Below are 18,852 nucleotides of genomic sequence, written 5' to 3' on the forward strand. Positions count from 1 at the left end.
TATGTTTTAAGACTGAATATTTTATGTTCCAGCTGCTGTTCTAGCACTAGTGATACATCAGAAAACAAAAGAATAACAAATTCCTGCTCTTGTGGAGTTTTAATTCTATTTAGTGGAGCATATAGTAGCATAATAGTCTTTTCCTGGGCTACTACAAATTAGGGCTGTAAATTGTTTAACTCAGTTTCCTGGCCTCTTTTACTGAAAAAAATATGTGATTCTCTAAGAACTCTTTTGGTGGTCCTGTTTGTGTCTGTTTTTTTCATATATTTGAGTAAATGGAACTGAAATGTTACAGAATGAAGTGCCTAGTTGGGAATTGACTTATTAGAATGTGAAACTCAATGAATAATAATGAGATCCATATTATAAGATGGTCGAGCTGCTTTTTTTTTTTTAAACCTATTCCTGTTTTACAGTAACGTGATTTTCATTAAATAACATTCCAGGGATCAGCAGTTTACAACAATCGTATGTAAGGTATAATGATTTTCTTTGAGATAAAAGTGATTGGTACTGTACTGTTTGTTTAACAAATATTTATTGCATACCTATCATATGCCAGACTGTTTCCAGTGCTGGAGGATAGAGTGGTGTTTGAGACAAAGTCCTTGCCCTCATGGAGCCGGCAAGTATTAGGTTAGTGCAAAATTGATTGTGGCTTTGGCCATTACTCTCAATGGGAAGAAACACGATTACTTTTGTGTCAGCCTAGTAAATTGTAAGGTGATAGAAAATGTCTAATTGCTTTTTGGTGGCAGAGGTCATGGTTTATTTGACTTGGGCTAGTTAGGGAAGGCCTCTCTCAAACATTGAGAGTAGCTGCATGCTGAGGTACTCGTAGTGGCCAGCCTTTTGAAAATCCTAGGCAAGTAAAGTACATTCCAAGCAGAGAAATAGCAAATGAAGGGTACTCAAAATGTTTAGTTAATACTTTTATCAGATTAAAGTAATTCATGGTTACTAAATAGTTCTAGTATCTCTGAGGGTTGTGTTTACATGCTTACATTCATATTTACAGTTGTTTTGTTTTGTTTTGTTTTTGAGACGGAGTCGTCCTCTGTCGCCAGGCTGGAGTTGCAGTGGTGCGATCTCGGCTCACTGGAACCTTCGACTACCTGGTTCAGGTGATTCTCCTGCCTCAGCCTCCCAAGTAGCTGGGATTACAGGCACGCACCACCACACCCAGCTAATTTTTGTATTTTTAGTAGAGATGGGGTTTCACCATGTTGGCCAGGATGGTCTTGATCTCCTGATCTCATGATCTGCGTGCCACCACGCCCAGCTAATTTTTGTGTTTTTAGTAGAGATGGGGTTTTACCATGTTGGCCAGGATGGTCTCAATCTTCTGACCTTGTCGTCTGTCCGCCTCAGCCTCCCAAAGTGCTGGGATTGCAGGCGTGAGCCACCGTGCCTGGCCAATATTTACAGTTTTTTACCGAACCAAGTCTGTAATTAGTGGGCTGTATAAATAAATGAACTATGAGACAATAACTTTCTCATGTGCTATTGCATAAAAAAATCTAAGAAATAAAAATAATATTTAAACAATTAGGAAGCAATCCATAAAGTATTCTCCCCTTCTCCACAGACACAGATACTCATATTAACAGAGTGTATACTTTATGTCACCATAGATTTTCTAAAATTGGTTAGTGTCTGGCCAAGTGCCTCCTTTCTGCCTGTTTTTATACACATAGGGCAGACAGAGCTAATCGAAATGAAAATTTGGAATGTGTATTTTTTTATTTTTCTTAATTTCATAATGTTGCTTGGTAGGTTAAAAAACACTTTAATACATTTTTAGCCTTTATTATAATGTCCTATATTTAGATACTCCTTTAATGAAATTAGAAGATCATGTTTTATGGTTAGGTTTCTACTGCTCTGTTTTCCACAGGTATGGTTTGTGGTTACATGATAGGATATCTACTGTTAAAGCAAACTAAATATGCCTGAGAAGGACTCTACTTCTATATTTGAGTCCTTGTGGATGAGCCGTAACCTAGCTTAACAGCAGACAGATTAGAAACCTAACTTGGGAGTATGTGCCTGTAACAATAGCTGAGTATTGGTCAATCCCAGCCGCCATACTTGAACCACTCAGACTTCTGTGTGTTCAAAGTGTGTTCACATAAGGCAAACACCAACCTGTAACCAATCCAGCTGTTTCTGTACCTCACTGCCGATTTCTGTATGTCACTTTCCCTTCCCTTTTTTGTCTATAAATTTGTTCTGACCAAGAGGCACCCTAGGAGTCTCTCTGAATCTGCTGTGATTTTGGGGGCTGCCTGATTCATGAGTTGTTCACTGCTCAGTAAAGCTCCTTCAAATTTATTTCTCCTCAAGTTTTTCCTTCAACACTGTCTTATTCTTTGTTTTGTCTATGCTTGGGATTTTTTTTTTTAATGTCAACAATCTTGTATTACCAAATGTGCAGGATTAACACTTTAACATGGCTAACAGCAGAAACAGCACCGCTAACAAGCTCAAGTGTGGAGGTGCAGACCCAATAAGTATTGTCTCTTAGAAAAGGATTGAAAAGATACAGATATCTGCTTAAGTATTTTTTGTTTTTAAATAAAATTTTCCAGTGTTGCAGAAAAAATATCCCAAAGTGATTTCAGTTCATAAAAAAGCAGCATTAGGCAGCCTGTGCTGCCTTATAAACCCCAACTCAGGATAACCATAGGAGAAAACCCCTGAAACATTAAAAAAAAAAATCACCGTTTCTTCTCGTCCTTCTCCAGCTTCAACTGCTTATTCCACGAAATACCTAATAACAGGATAAGCAAGACCTAGCTCACTTCTGTCAGCCTCTTGTCTGTTTGTTAAGGTTAATCCTTCACATCTACAACAATCAGTAAATTGATTTCTAATTTCTGGCTCAGATTTCTAGAAACTTGCAAAACATGTTTTCTTCAAGGATGGGGCTGAGGGTTCCTTGAAAAATCAAGGGGGCAGGGTACCCGCCTGAGACTGGAATGCCTCCCAGACCCTTTCTAAGCAAAAGCATCCCAATACCTTACAACTGAAAGTCTAACCTACCAGGTAAGAAAAAGTAGCAAATGGGCACCAAACTGTGGCTGTACCAAAAAGGTGAATATCTCCTCCTCTTAACTATAAAGGTAAGGGAGTTGACAGGAGCCAAGTATTTCACCTTATCTGTCTTTAGAGTTTGCATAGTTTGGGCTAAAGCCATATTGCAGAGAAAAACATTCAGTCAAAGGATAGGGGTGGCTTTTGCTGTATCTGGTAAAGCTGCCATTCCTGGGCAGCCGAATTCGTTGCTCTTTTATAGAAGCTCTTTTGCCTTATACAAAGTACTTAAGAATTAATAGGGAAATTTTAAATTTGACTTAATAACTGACAAACTTAAAGATATACAAAAAGGCGGTGTATAAATCCACACAGTATTCAAGCTTTTTTAGTAACCATGTTTCTTTTAAAAATCTGAAATTAGTGCTAGTGAGTTCTTATTGAGACAATATGAAGCCCTTTGCACTGTAAATATTTTATATTTTTGGAGAGACATTTGATGATATCTAAGAGTAAAAATGAATATATATGTGTGTGTATATATACACACACACATATATATGGTGTATATATATACCATCTTCAACTCAGTGAACCTGTGTTTTAAAATGTATCGTAAAGAAGGAATAGAAGAGGGGAAGAAAAGCATTATTTATATAGCATTGTTAATTTTTTTCAAATTAAGAACATGATAATATCTACAAGGATAAATTCATTCCCAAATAGTTAATTGTATGTAACATACAACTCGATGTAGTGTATCATACCTCAGCCTCTTTTTGGAGTGAATCTGTTACTCATTCATGAAGGAAAGAACTCTTACCAACGGGTGGTCAAGTAGAGACTGGTGATCTCCTGCGATGTTAGAGGGGTAAGGTGTAGGGGCTCTGTTAAGAGGAGGTGTTCACATATTTTCTTACTATACTTAACACAGCCCCTATAAAGTAGATATCTATTCTTTATTGTTGTGATACTGCACAGATATGTTCTTTTCCCCCTCAAGTCTGGTACTTACTGCCAACTTTGTAATAGAGGAAATAACCGACGTAGAAGTATAATAGTTGAGCTAAGTTTGACCTTTGTGCTGCCTGCATAATTAACGCATTCCAAATGTGAAGAGTCCCTCCTGTTACTGATTTGTAATTCTCCCCCTTTGTATGGTATTAAAGTGATTTAAACAAATCTCTATTGTTGAGCAGTGCAATAAATTTAACTCTGAATGGTTTTTATTCTCTTTATCTCATTTGTCCCCTTTCCAAAAAGATAGGTTTAAATTACATAGTCTGGAGTTAAAATAGTATCAAGGTCAGGAGGACTTCACTTAAGCAAGTTTAATTAGGGCAATTTGGGGTTGGGATGGGAGGAATTTGAATGTGATGTAAAATCAGGCTCGAAGAGATTTCTGAGTATGATCATGGATTTTATGCCAAAATTTCAGAACCATTTGGGGTTAAATTTATTCCATTTCTCAACAGTAGGGATTGGTTTAAATCACTTTAATACCACACAAAAAGGAAAATTACAAGGCAGGACTAGTAGGGAGTTTTTCACATTTGTTATGTGATGATTATGCTGGCAGCACAAAGGTCAAACTCAGCTTAACTACTTCTAGATCAGTTATTTCCTCTGTTATAAAGTTGGCATTAAGTTTCAGACTTGGGGGTAAAAATGAGAATGGCACCTAGTACCTAGTTCTGGAATATAGGTGGGAAGAAAAAACATACTGGAGGTGCTTCTGTTGTTGGGGCTCTTGAATGTTCAGCATGAGAGCTCTGGAAACTCTGAAGGCAATGTAGAGCTTGATTTAATGTAGAAATGGATTTTTGAGTTGAAGGAAGTGTGTTGTCAGGAGGAGCAGGAGTTCAAAAAAAGATGCATGCTTGGAAATCTTACCTTTGAGAAACATCTCAAATGCAGTCTTAGTTATTCTAATTGTAGATTGTTGACCAAGAGGTTGTTCAATGATAGAACCTCAAGTCATCACTTACCTTCCAAGTTATTTTCCAGCACATATAAACATGGTCAGATCTCTGTTGATTTTTCCCTCTTCTGTCCCCTTCCTTCTCTTCACTTTCCTCCATTAAACTTAAAAGCGACTACAATTATTGTCATTCTTCATTTACTTACTTCTTAACTCCTTCTCATCTGATTCTCTGCTTTGTGTGTCAAACTAGTGGATTTCTCTCCTTTATTCGTTCTTTGTGTAGCAGTTAACCTTCCTGATTCCCACTACTTTGAAATTTTTGTGATGTTGCTTTACCTTGATGCATCTTTTGTCTGATCTTTTTCCTTCATGTCTTCAATATATCAAAAAAGTGAAGTCAGTATGTTACTTCCAAATTTGTTCTTTCCAACTTCTCTGTTTGGTCAATAGAAACATTTTCTCTCACTCATCAAGGCTTAAGTTCTCCCAGTCTGTCTTTTCTCATAATTCTTTTATTCAGCAAATATTTTCTGGAATACCTACTATACACAAGGTTGTTATTCTAGGTTCTGGGGATTCAGCCACAAATAGGAGACAAAGGTCCTTACCTGTGCAGCTTACACTCTAGTGGAGAAGACTGTCAGATACTTAATGTCATATAGAGAAACATTTTAAAGGATAAAGTATGCTAAGGATCCATAGGCAGTAATGGGAATATGTGCTGTTTTGCATAAGGTGGTTAGGGAAGGTTTCTCTGAGAAGGTGACATGTAAGTAAAACCTGAAGGAAGGGAAAGAATGAGTTATGGGTATTTGGGAGAAGAGCCTTCATGCAGCGGGAATAGCAAGTGCAAAAACCTGGAGATGGGCTTATGCTTCCCTATGTTCAGGAAAAGCCAGTGTGACTGGAGGAGAGTGAATCAGCAGGGGGAGGAGATGAAGTCAAAGAAGTTGGCAGGAGAAGATCTTGTTATAGGACCCTGTGGGCCCTGGCTAGGATTTTGGGCTTTATGTCTAAATGTGTTGGGAAGGTTTTAGAGGATTTTGAACAGAAGAATATTAACGTGATCTGACTTAATATTTTAGAAGGATCACAGTGATAACTGTGTGGAGAATAAACTGTCAGGGGAGAGGGGATGGCAGTAGAGAAACCTGGGACACTAGGAGGCTGTTACAGTCTTAGATGAGAGATGTGATTTGGGAGTAGCATGTTAGCTGGTCAGATGTGTGATACATTTTGAAGATAAAGCTAGCAGGATATGCCGATAGCTTGGATGTGTCAGATATGGGGAGAGGAGCTAAGGACAGTTCTAGAGTTTTAGAATTGAACTAGGTGATTTGGAGGTTCCATTTACTCTGAATACCTTGGGAGGAACAGTTTTTTGAGGGGGAGGGAGGATTGGTAGAATCAGTGTTTATTTTTGGTATGTTAACTTTGAGGTACTTATTAGACAACTTAATGAAGATGTCAGATTACACTCTTCTGAAGGTCTCATGAGCTTCGGGCTGGAGAAGATACCTATGGGAATCATTAGAGTATAGATGGGCCTGGATAAGATCACCTTAGGGATAAGTGAGTGTGAAGGGATGAGTGAGTATGAGTGTAGATAAAGAAGAAAGATGGGGGGACTGAACTGTTGTATCCTTCAGTATGTAGATGTCTGCAGGAAGAGAAGGCTTTATCAAAGGCTGTTGACAAGTGGCTAGGGAAATGGGAGGATGTGGTATCCCAGAAGTGAAGTGAAAAAAAAGGAGATTCAGAAAGTGGAGAGGAATCAGCTGTGTCAGATGCTGCTAGGAAATGGAATAATTTAAAACCTGATAATTGACCTTTGGATTTGGCTTGCGAAATCCTGTTGATTCTGCTTTGTAATACAGCTCTAAAATTCATTACATGACTTCACTCCCTGTCAACAAACACTATTCATCAGGCTTTCCTTCTGGTCTGTTTTTCTATTTTGGATGGTTCTTTTTTTCTCCTGTTTACATTGTAGAATACATGCTCATTATAGAAAACTTGGAAAAGTCAGAGAAAGTATAATGAAGGTTAAAAAACAACAGCAATGGCAAAATTCCTTACAACTAAATCACTGATTGAACAGTCTGTTGTGTTTTTCCTATTAATGTTTCTTATGCATCTTTGTAATGCATATACTATATATATATGCTTTTCTACAGAATTAATGAAAAGTAGTCTTAAAATTTATGTATTTAAAGGAGCATAGTAGACCTGTAATCTAATGTCAAAACTTTTTTGAGGCTGGGTGCAGTGGTTCACACCTGTAATCCCAGCACTTTGGGAGGCCAAGGCAGACGGATCACCTGAGGTCAGGAGTTCGAGACCAGCCTGGCCAACATGGCTAAACCCCGTCTCTACTAAAAATACAAAAATTAGCTGGGCATGATGGCACACACCTGTATTCCCAGCTACTTGGGAGGCTGAGGCAGGAGAATCACTTGAACCTGGGAGGTGGAGGTTGCAGTGAGCCAAGATCGCACCACTGCACTCCAGCTTGGGCAAGAGTGAGACTCCGTCTCAAAAAAAAAAAGAAAAAAAAACAAAAAACAACAAAAAACAACAGCAACAAAAACCTGAGGATGTATGTGAATGTGTGGCAACCAATATTCCATCATGGTGGAATAGCCTAACTGGAGTTCCTACCTGTCTTTACACAAATTATATCTTAAATTAATCCTGATTAATTTTTCTAAAGCATATTCTCCTCCAAACTTTTAGCGCATAGCATAATGGTTAAAAGCGTGGGCTCTATTTTTACTTTTATAATACATGCTTATAGCAGGAAATTTGGAAAATAGGAAAAAGGTATATTCTTATCTGTTTATGGATAAGAATTACTGTGTATGATTACTGGTATAATTTTCATCTGTTTTCTGCCAATCTTTTTTTTTTTTCTATCTAAATGTACATATGCATGCATTTTATTTGTGTGTTTGTTTCTAACAAGGATCACACTGTTTTCTGGTCAGCATTTTCTTCATAATCCATTCTTTCCTCTCTTTAAATTTATTTTGATCAAAGCATATGAGCAGTTTCATGATTCTGTTTGTTGTCAAATTGCTCTTCAAAAAGATTGTGTCATTTAAAGGTAAACTTATGAAGAATTTTGTTCTCTTTAAATTTTAGGATAGACCACTATCTTGTTGAGCTCTTTTAAATGAAGTTCTACTTGGACACAAAGATGAGGACTAGATAACTCCTTGAGGTTCCTTCTAACCCCTAGGATGAAGATAATAACTAACATTTGTATAGTGCTCTAAAGTTTACAGAGTGAGTTCTCATACATCATCTCACTTGATCCTCACAACAGCCCTGTGAGGTAGGTAGGACAGGTATTGTTATTCTCATTTTAGAGGTAAAGAAACTGATAGAGAGGTTAAGTGACTTGATAAAGGTGTTTTTTTTTTTTTTTAAACGTTCTAGTAAGGATTTGAATCCAGACTTGCTGGTCTAAATAATCACGTTCTTTTTGGCAAGATTTCATACAACTGCACATTTAGAATTACTGATACATGTTGGCTAAGTGGCATTTGTTCTACACAGAAATAAACCTAATGACAATATGAGTACGGTGTTACTATTTCTTTGACTGTTCCTGAGTCTTTTTACATTCTTTCTCCACCCCACAAATTAAATACATGAGTCTGTCTCTCTTTTGACTAGGAGAAGGTAATGTAATTATATAGCTATATTAAACATCTACTATTTTCTCCAGCATTTGGGGGAAGGGGAAGTTACATTATGTTTTTCATTTTTTTCCTCTCTCTGTTTTTTTCCGTTTCTTCCTGTTTTTTTTTTCTTTTGGTACCAGTCAAAAGTACATCTGCATTGCTTGCTTTCATACATGTAGCATAAAGTCTGTAGTAGAGTATTGGGATCCCAGTTAGAAGTAGAATTTTTGATTCTAGCATGAACCTAGAATCTTTCAGGGTATGGAACTCCTGTACTACCTTAACCAAAATTGTGATACTTGAGTACTCCAGGTATAGTCACCTATGTCTTTCACAAGGGGTCAGCAAGTAATAAATGGAAGTGATATTTGAGGCTAAATCAGGAAAGAGTATAATATAGCTAATACTCTCTTTGACTAATTACTTTACAAGGTGGAAGTTTATAAAACTGACTTGATTTGGGAGTTTGGTAGTGGCAATTTCACATGTTAGAAAATTTCACATTCCAGATTTTCAAGAGTATGTAGTGTTACATTAAGACTATCTCACAGTATTTTCTGTACTGCCTTTAATTGCCTAACATTCCCAATATTTTTAAAAGTTAATTTTTTTGTCGTTTTTTTCTAGTTGTTGGTCTTGACGATATTATGGATGAAGGAGTTGTTAAAGAAAGTGGCAATGATACCATTGATGAAGAAGAACTGATTTTACCTAACAGGAACTTAAGGGACAAGGTAGAAGAAAATTCAGTGAGATCTCCAAGAAAATCACCTCGTTTAATGGCACAAGGTAATCCTTTGAGAGAGGTCTAGCTAGAAAATTAGAGGTATAGGGACAGATGTGTTAGGTTATAAACCTGCTGAGCAGAAATCATATTTTCTTGATGTTTTGCTAATCCATTCGTTTTGATGGCAATCAGTTTTGAGATCATATCAATTTGTTGTATAAGTTTTCAGTACCCACCACCCCACACTACCCATTTCTCCTTCCCCAGGGGAAACCACTAGTAACTCTGAGCTGGTTTAATTTTTTTTTTTTTTTTTTTTTTTGGTATTTACCTTTATAGCTCTAGGTAACATGCATATGTTGCTGTTTTTTGATTATTCTGATTTATTATTCATCCATCTATTGACTTCCCACTGTGGATGGTTTTCTTCCTGCTACTTGTCCCCATCATATAATTTTGTTAGATCAATGGTAATTATGTTAGTATGAGTAATATGCTATTAGAGATGATACATTTAATAAACTACAGTTACTTTTCTTGTATGACTTCTTGTGTTTCTGATTTAAGTGTTTTAGTTTCTCAGTTGTTTAGTGTGTACATACCAGCAGTTATACTAAAACTGCTCTACCAGTTGTCTAAATCTACCCTAAAGATATTTGTGTATTTCAGGTATTCTGTCATATCCATTTTATTGAAAACACCTCTTGGAGCCTTCTGATCCCCTCTTATGTAGACAGACTCCTGTTAGTCCTATGAGCCTGATGCAAAGCTGTTCAGGGATCTCCCTTTACCATTTTTCTGGAAGTCTGTGCTTTGTGCTTTTGTTGTAGTTCCTATTTCCTCTTTCTGGATTCAATTTTTTTATTTTGGTGATGCACCTCTTCCAGTAGTTTTGTGAGAAAAAGGAGCTGTGAGATACACTTTTTAAACCTTGTATGTTTACCTTGTATTTAGTCTATTCTCATACTGGAATCATGGTCTGGTTGGATGTAAAATTCAAGGTTGGAAATCATTTTCCTTCAGAAATTCTGAAGGTGTTGCTCCATTTTTTTCTAACTTCAGGGTTGTTGAGAAGTTTATTTTGATGTGTGTGTGTAGGAGTGTATGTTATCTGATTTCTTCTGGAAGTTTGTGGAATCTTGCTCTTCAGCTTTGGTGTTTTGATATTTCATGATGATATGTATTGGTTTTGGTGTATTTTGTGTATGGAGCTCAAGACACTCAGTAGATCCTGTTAGTCTGAAAAATGTTATTGTTCAATTCCGGGAAAATTTTTCAAATTATTTCATTGTTAATTCCTCTCTTTATTTTGTTAGCTCTTGATTTCTGGAACCTTTATTATTTGTTACATAACAGGGACTGGTCCCTCTGTTTTCTTTATTTTGCCTACTTCCTACCTCTTTGTAATTTTTCTTTAACGTGCTTAAATTTTCTCATATTTATCCTCCAACTTTTCAGTCAAGTTTTGTACTTCTGATTCTTAAATGTTCTTTTTGTTGTTGTTTTGAGAATGGTCCTTTCTGTAGTGTTCTATTCATGTTTCATGGATGTAGTATCTTCTTTTGTCTTTATTAAGATACTAATGGCGTTTTAAACAGTTTTTGTCTCCTTTCATAGTTTCTGACTTCTCAATGTTGCATTATTTTAAAAAAAATGTTTAAAAAGGTTTTGGCCTCCATCTTTCCTAGATGCTCTCCTGAAATGTCTGACCCTTGATTATTGCTCATGTTTAAGGGTAGGGAACTAAAATTATGAAACTTCTAAGTGTGGGGATTGGGTTTTACCAGCTATGAGCGTCAGTGTATAGCAATCTGGCTGTACTGTTGTTTGGCAGAACCCTTCCTATCAGAATTTAGGTTATTTTCCATAACTTATTAGATTGCTAGCATATTATGGAAGCCTGTAAGGGAAACTGACTGGGGTTTCTCAGATTTCAGTATATACAAATTCACTTAATCTTACAAATTTCAATGTACTTTACAGCCAGTCTCAACTGTGCCTCATGTTCTTTAGCCTAGAAACCTTGCTTTACTATCTCCAGAGAATAAGCTACGAGTTTTGGCTCAGGACTAGGGAAGGGCAGTTGCCCAACAAATGGAGTAGGGGAAAGAGGGATCTAGAAATCTAACTGCTACTTTTAAAGAGCTTTCAGCCCTTCTAAGTGTTAAGCATCTGTCTTCATTCCCACTTTAGAATCATCTGGGACCACCAAGTCTTAAGACTTTTGAGGTGTTAATGGTGTTAGTTTTTGCCAACACTGCCAGCCTAGTGTTTTATTAATTACTTTTGGGTCTCTTATGTCAAATACTTGGTAATCATCTCTTGTTTGGTTTCCAAAATTTGCTGCTGGTTTTTCCTCTCTCGTTCTTCCTTGCCTTTTGGACTTTTCAAAAAATGTCCCGCTGTTATAGCTTCAGTAGGGTTTTGAGAAGTGAATAAATTTAGATCCATGTATTTATTTCATCATCTTTTCTTGATCTATGTTTTTAATACATTTTCAAAATCAGTTATTTGGTATATACGTGTGGCTTTGAGAAATGAAAAGAATAGAATAAACATTGTAGGAAAATAAAACTTTTTTGCCTATAGAATCAGGCTTCAAACTAAGGCAGGTAATATTTAGAGGAGAAAAAGTGACTTTAGCCTTTGCTTAATAAATTGCTTCCTATTGGAAAACCACTTTTTATCTGAAAATCCTTCACAGCTGAATATACTATTCTTTTGTCATTTTTAGCAACCGCTTGGGTGTTAAAAGATCTTTATTTATTAATGTGTAATAAGTGTTAAAATCCTTCATTTGTTTCATTTCAAGGATGAATAGAGCTGTAAATTACTATAATCTGTCTTTAAAGCTTTAAAGATCACCTAAATATTGAAACAAAGCTTTATTAAAATTTTAGTTATTTAAAAAAATTTTATAACTGAATATGTGATAAATAGTTCATAACCCACCAAGTAATTTTTAAAAGTTATTAAGTACTTAACCTAATACTCAGATACTTTGTTGTGTCCTATGGGAATTAGAAAGGGTCTCTAAGATAAGGATGACTATATAATTTTATTGTTCAAATTGGGCATACTTTTGAAAATGAAAGTGTGCTATTAATACTAGATCAGAACTACGAGCAACACCTGGACATTTACCTTTTTAAAGATTCTCACAGTTCAGTGATAAATGACAAATTCAGTTTGTGGGTTGTTTTTGTACTTACTGAATTATTTAGCTCTCTTTCTTTTTAGCTCTTTTCATTTTGTGTTTCTCCTTTCTCCTGATACAAGGGGGGGATGTATCAGAATAGGGAAATGAAACTCTTTTCATTTAATGGACTATTAGGAGCATTGTGTGGGAAGCTTTTAAATTTTCATACTTTCCTTATGATACATTTGCTTGGTTTAAGTCTTTTAAATTGTGTTTCTTTTTTGATGAGCTGTATGTGGTACTCTGTGTTGATATCATTTCTTAGGAATAGCTTTAATGCTAAAATGGTGACCTAAGGGAAGCACATTGATAAAGGAATTAGAGTCCGTTTGAGGCTGTATTTTGAAACTCGCACAGATCCTGGTTTGTGATAGGAGGTTTTTAGTTCAGGTTTCTTTAGCACTGGAATATATTTGGTTTTATATATTTAGAAATATTTAATGTTTAAAAATCCATGATGGTCTTGCTTTAATATGGGCATTAATGGTAAAGGAAGCTCATTTTACTTACGTCACTCCTAGGTTACTTTTTATGGAAAAGAGATTTGATGAAAACATTTCTTTTAATAAGGTATAATATTAGTCTGAATTTTTTAGAGGCTTTTCCCCCTGCTAGAATTCAGAGAACTTTGATAAATATAAAATTTGACATATGTTAAATTATATATATGTGTATATATATCATGTCACCATTATGAGTACTGTTCAATACATTTTTGTTGAGCAAATTATAGCTCAGAATAAAGAAGTGATATATTCTAAATTGTATTGAAATAAAAGCACATGACAAAATAGCTAAGTATTTTTATTTATTTTTTCCCCCTGTGATAGAACAAGTAAGAAGTTTGCGACAGAGCACTATTGCCAAGCGTTCAAATGCAGCACCATTAAGTAACACAAAAAAAGCATCTGGGAAGACTGTATCTACTGCTAAAGCAGGAGTGAAACAACCAGAAAGGAGTCAGGTTAAAGAAGAAGTATGTATGTCACTGAAACCTGAGTACCATAAGGAGAATAGAAGGTGCAGCCGAAATAGCGGACAAATTGAAGTGGTACCTGAAGTATCAGTGTCTTCAAGTCATTCTTCAGTGTCATCTTGTCTTGAAATGAAGGATGAAGATGGATTAGATTCTAAGCATAAGTGTAATAATCCGGGAGAAATAGATGTGCCATCTCATGAATTAAATTGTTCACTTCTTTCAGAGACTTGTGTTACTATTGGAGAAAAGAAAAATGAAGCTTTGATGGAATGTAAAGCCAAGCCTGTTGGTAGTCCATTGTTTAAGTTTTCAGATAAAGAAGAACATGAACAAAATGATTCCATTTCAGGTAAAACGGGTGAGACTGTTGTTGAAGAAATGATAGCAACAAGAAAAGTTGAACAAGATTCAAAGGAGACAGTAAAATTATCCCATGAAGATGACCATATTCTTGAGGACGCTGGATCTTCTGATATTTCTAGTGATGCTGCTTGTACAAATCCAAATAAGACAGAAAACAGCCTTGTAGGTTTGCCTAGTTGTGTAGATGAAGTGACTGAATGTAATTTGGAATTGAAGGATACCATGGGTATTGCTGATAAAACTGAGAACACCCTTGAAAGAAATAAAATTGAACCGTTGGGTTATTGTGAAGATGCGGAGTCTAATAGGCAGTTGGAGAGCACTGAGTTTAATAAATCAAACTTAGAGGTGGTTGATACTAGTACTTTTGGACCGGAAAGTAATATCTTGGAAAATGCTATTTGTGATGTGCCTGACCAAAATTCAAAACAGTTGAATGCTATAGAAAGTACTAAAATAGAGTCCCATGAAACAGCAAACCTTCAGGATGACAGAAACAGCCAGTCAAGTAGCGTTTCTTACTTAGAGTCAAAAAGTGTAAAATCCAAACATACAAAACCTGTAATTCATTCTAAGCAAAACATGACCACAGATGCTCCGAAGAAAATTGTTGCAGCAAAGTATGAAGTAATACATAGCAAAACTAAAGTTAATGTCAAAAGTGTGAAACGAAATACTGATGTACCAGAATCTCAGCAAAATTTTCATAGGCCAGTCAAAGTCAGAAAAAAACAAATTGATAAGGAGCCAAAGATTCAGAGTTGCAATTCTGGGGTTAAATCTGTGAAAAACCAAGCTCATTCTGTACTGAAAAAAACATTACAGGATCAAACTTTAGTACAAATTTTCAAGCCCTTAACTCATTCTTTGAGTGATAAGTCACACGCTCATCCTGGTTGCTTGAAAGAACCTCATCATCCTGCACAAACTGGACATGTATCACATTCTAGCCAGAAACAGTGTCATAAGCCTCAGCAACAGGCCCCAGCAATGAAAACCAATAGTCACGTGAAGGAAGAGCTTGAACACCCAGGCGTTGAGCATTTTAAGGAAGAGGATAAACTGAAACTGAAAAAACCTGAGAAGAACCTACAACCCCGCCAAAGAAGAAGCAGCAAAAGTTTTTCTTTAGATGAGCCACCATTGTTCATTCCAGATAACATAGCTACCATAAGAAGAGAAGGCTCTGATCATAGCTCCTCATTTGAAAGCAAATATATGTGGACTCCCAGCAAGCAGTGTGGGTTTTGCAAAAAACCACATGGCAACAGGTGTGTGTGTATGTGTGTATGAGTGATGTGTACATTGAAAATAAATTGCTTTTTTGGGGGTGGGATTAATGTGAGAATTGTTTTAAAGACATTATTTGATACACAGAGACCTGTGCAAAAACAAAAAGCTTCATCAGTCTTGGATAAATGATAGAAAGATGGATCTACTGAATTTACAAATATATCATCCTAGAACATTTAAAAAAGCATAGTCTGGCCAACAGCTGACATACATGGAAATATTTTGTCATTGTCACAGGTTAGACAGTGTAATTTAGCCACTGCATCTGCAAAAAAGCCAAACACTTCCTGGTAATTGGAAAATTGTTATACTGCTTTGGGTCTGTAAGTTATATATTAATTCATTTGGTGTGAGAAGAACTAGTAATAAAGTATGAAGGTCATAATGGAAATTCTATTTTTCTTTTGAAGTTTTTTTTTTTCTTAAAATGAAACATATTAAAGAACACCATTTCATAACTATCAAACTTTATCTTGCAGTGAAATTTGACAGCTAAACAATTGTTAGATTACCCAGGTCAACATGAAATAGAGTGAAAAACGTATTTCTTTTTTTGAATGTTTTAAATAATTTTTTGTGAATTCTAGTCTTTTTAAAATTTGAGATGATTTTAGCACTGACTTTCATCATTCTTTCTAGTATTCAGTGATTTGTAGTTTTATGACACTGCACCCCTCAATCCCCAATGTGTTTTTTGTTAGCTTTTTAAGAAAAGGAAAGCAAGAGATGAAGTGGAGTTTGCAGCTACCAGATTATTCTGTTCAAGTGTTCATATTGCTGTTGGAACTTCTTTCAATGCTGATATGATAAAAGAACATTATAATTTGTATATTATATTCTTCTTATCCTTATTCATGAAAGTGTGCTAGAGTGATTTTTCCCAGCACTATCTTAGTACATAAAAATGAAGCTCTTTAGGGAGGGACAATTTAGTAAAGTGTGTTGTAACATATTATTTTGGTGGTGTTAGGGTGATTGGGGAGATCGGAAAGGAGATGTTGGGGCTATTGTGTAAAATAAGTTTTATGTCAAAGTATTTCTTCATTTGTGATCCAGCCCGTGGCCTATTTTTAGCGTCAAGGGTTAGTTTATAACAATATATTCCAGTTTTTAAAAGTTGTCACTTGTTTGAATACAGTGCTACATTCACTGTCACTTACATGCTCTTAATTATATGGTTTTTTTATTTAAAACACCTTACTCAGCCAGGCGCAGTCGCATGCCTGTAATCCCAGCACTTTGGGAGGCTGAGGTGGGCGGTAGGCAGATCACTTGAGGTCAGGAGTTCGAGACCAGCCTGGCCAACATGGTGAAACCCCGTCTCTACTAAAAATACAAAAGTTAGCTGGGTGTGCTGGTGCATGCATATAATCCCAGCTATGTGGGAGACTGAGGCATGAGAATCACTTGAACCTGAGAAATGGAGGTTGCAGTGAGCCGACATTGAGCCACTGCACTCTAGCTGGTGACGAAGTGAGACTGTCTCCATAAATAAATGAACACATTACTCAAATATTCTGAAGTGGGCCTGCTGTTTTCAGGCAAAAGAGAATTAAGAGTTAGGTGGTGCTTTTAAGTGCTCCTTTAAACCAGCCTTTTTCTCTCTGCCAGAATCTTTAAAAAATTATCATGTGGACAGAGAGATGGAATAGGTGCCTTAAGTAAATGAATTTCTAACATGAAACTTTGGCATAGAGTTGGAAGCCATGTTAGTAAGTTATAATGTAACGTACTAACCTTGTAGATAAAGTTCCAGTCCAGTCTTCAGGAGTTTGCCCAGGCTTTTTAATGATGACTCATGCTTCACCAACATTTAATAATTTTCCTAAATTAAGAGTAGGTGTTAGTCCCTTTGTTGTTGTTTACTTGCTGCCACCTTTTGGATCTACTGTATAGAATCTAGAGTGTTTTTGCTCAAGTCTGTAGAATGACTTAGAATGTCAGGTGCATAGAGATTTTGGGTTTACACTCTGTAATTGATGTGAATAATTTAACATTGGAAACAATTATGGAAGCAGAATTTTCGATTACTTCAATTTTGTGAATTAAAGCCTTCCTGGCTAACACGGTGAAACCCCGTCTCTACTAAAAATACAAAAAATTAGCTGGGCGTGCTGGCGGGCGCCTGTAGTCCCAGCTACTTGGGAGGCTGAGGCAGGGGAATGGCGCGTGAACCCGGGAGGCGGAGCTTGCAGTGAGCCGAGATCATGCTACTCCACTTCAGCCTGGGTGACAGAGCAAGACTCCGTCTCAAAAAAAAAAAAAAAGCCTATGTAATTGTTTTTTTCCCCTCCCCTCCCCCTCCCCTCCCCCCTTCCCCTCCTCCCCCCTCCCCTCCTCCCCCCTCCCCTTCCCCTTCCGTTCCCCTCCTCCCCCTCCCCTTCCCCCTCCCTTCCCCTCCCCTCCTCTTCTCTTGTTTTTAAGACAAAGTCTCACTGTTGCCCAGGGGTGGAGAGCAGTGGTGTGATCTTGGCTGACTGAAACCTCCACCTCCTGAGTTCAAGTGATTCTCCTGCCTCGGCCTCCCAAGTAGCTGGGATTACGGGCAAATGCCACCATGCCCAGCTTATTTTGTATTTTTTGTAGAGATGGGGTTTCACCGTGTTGGCCAGGCTGGTCTCGAACTCCTGAATTCAGGTGATCCGCCCGCCTCAGCCTCCCAAAGTGCTGGGATTACAGGCACAAGCCATGGCGCCCAGCTGATTGTTGTTTTTACATATTAACTAGCCTTCACTACTACTGTGATTCTACTACTTTGATACATTGTGCTTGTATACATTTCGTTTACTCAGAAAATGCACCTGTCATGCAGGTTGCAATTTTCCTATTCTAATCCTTGTGTAAGAATATAAATTTATTAGAAAGGGCATGTTTGGAAATAATTTTGATCCTTCTCTTTGATTTCATGCACTAGATACATTGAAAGCTGTTTGTTAATATGACACATTTTCTAGCATTTGCAACAGCTTTGCCTCTGTAAAGACTATATAAACGCTTTATCATTTTACGTATTGCAGTTGAAGTTAGTTTCCTTGTGTGTGCTCCCAGTTGGAAATTATATTTTGTAATATAGCTGTGTCATGGCTAGATGTGATATTAATCATAAGCAACTTCTATGCATATCCTAAAGACAGTAGACCCTTAAAGAAGCAACATATGCTAGATTTTTATTGCTTCCTTTTATTTTCCTGATTCAAACTTACATCAAAGGTGTATGATTTTAAAGACCAGATTATTTAATCCTCTGATTTTTAAAATTAATGCAACTTTTGAACTTCTTTTAAACGTAAGTCAGTTGGCATTTTGTAAGGAGGAAGTCTTAGTTTTTTCATGTTATTTACCTTGTGGTTTCTGTTTTTCTACTTCTCCAGAAGATGCTTGAGTTTTTAGTTTGCATTACACTTTCTTGGCCCCAATTGTAGAAGACTAGTATATCAGATAATATTTAAAAAACAAACAGACTTAGAAAATGGATTTATAGCTTTCAAACAAGAAAACTTCTGAGAAGAAATTTTCTTCTAGAACAAATGATTCTATTTTTCTCTGCAGATTGTTAGTAACAAAAATGATTTAATGTTTATGTGACGTAGAATTCTCTGATCTTAGAAGAGTGAGTCTTTTCTCTCTCTCAAAAACTCT

The 18,852-nt window shown here is 36.5% G+C and overlaps 1 protein-coding gene across 10 annotated transcripts in view, besides 1 other annotated feature; it reads left to right on the plus strand.

Annotated features, from left to right (window-relative positions):
* PHF3 (PHD finger protein 3) overlaps nucleotides 1-18,852 on the plus strand; it is a 90,210-nt gene that overhangs the window by 34,919 nt on the left and 36,439 nt on the right. For 4 of the 10 annotated variants that reach the window (NM_001370348.2, NM_001370349.2, XM_011535648.4 and 1 more), the window contains 2 exons: nucleotides 9,280-9,441; nucleotides 13,409-15,191. In NM_001370348.2, coding sequence (NP_001357277.1) covers nucleotides 9,280-9,441; nucleotides 13,409-15,191 — 1,945 coding nt within the window. Of the gene's footprint in view, nucleotides 1-565; nucleotides 1,128-8,107; nucleotides 8,301-9,279; nucleotides 9,442-13,408; nucleotides 15,605-18,852 lie in introns of those variants that run through there. The other 6 variants (NM_001290259.2, XM_047418529.1, XM_047418530.1 and 3 more) reach the window with 4 other exon arrangements.
* Nucleotides 14,888-15,257: an enhancer, noted in NCBI's record as "active region_24722". NCBI's record gives its function as "activates an Ori minimal core promoter by ATAC-STARR-seq in GM12878 lymphoblastoid cells {active_cell/tissue: GM12878}" and the evidence as "EXISTENCE:reporter gene assay evidence [ECO:0000049][PMID:35858748]".

The sequence above is a fragment of the Homo sapiens genome, chromosome 6 (assembly GCF_000001405.40).
Source record: "Homo sapiens chromosome 6, GRCh38.p14 Primary Assembly".
Classification (NCBI taxonomy): Eukaryota; Metazoa; Chordata; class Mammalia; order Primates; family Hominidae; genus Homo; species Homo sapiens.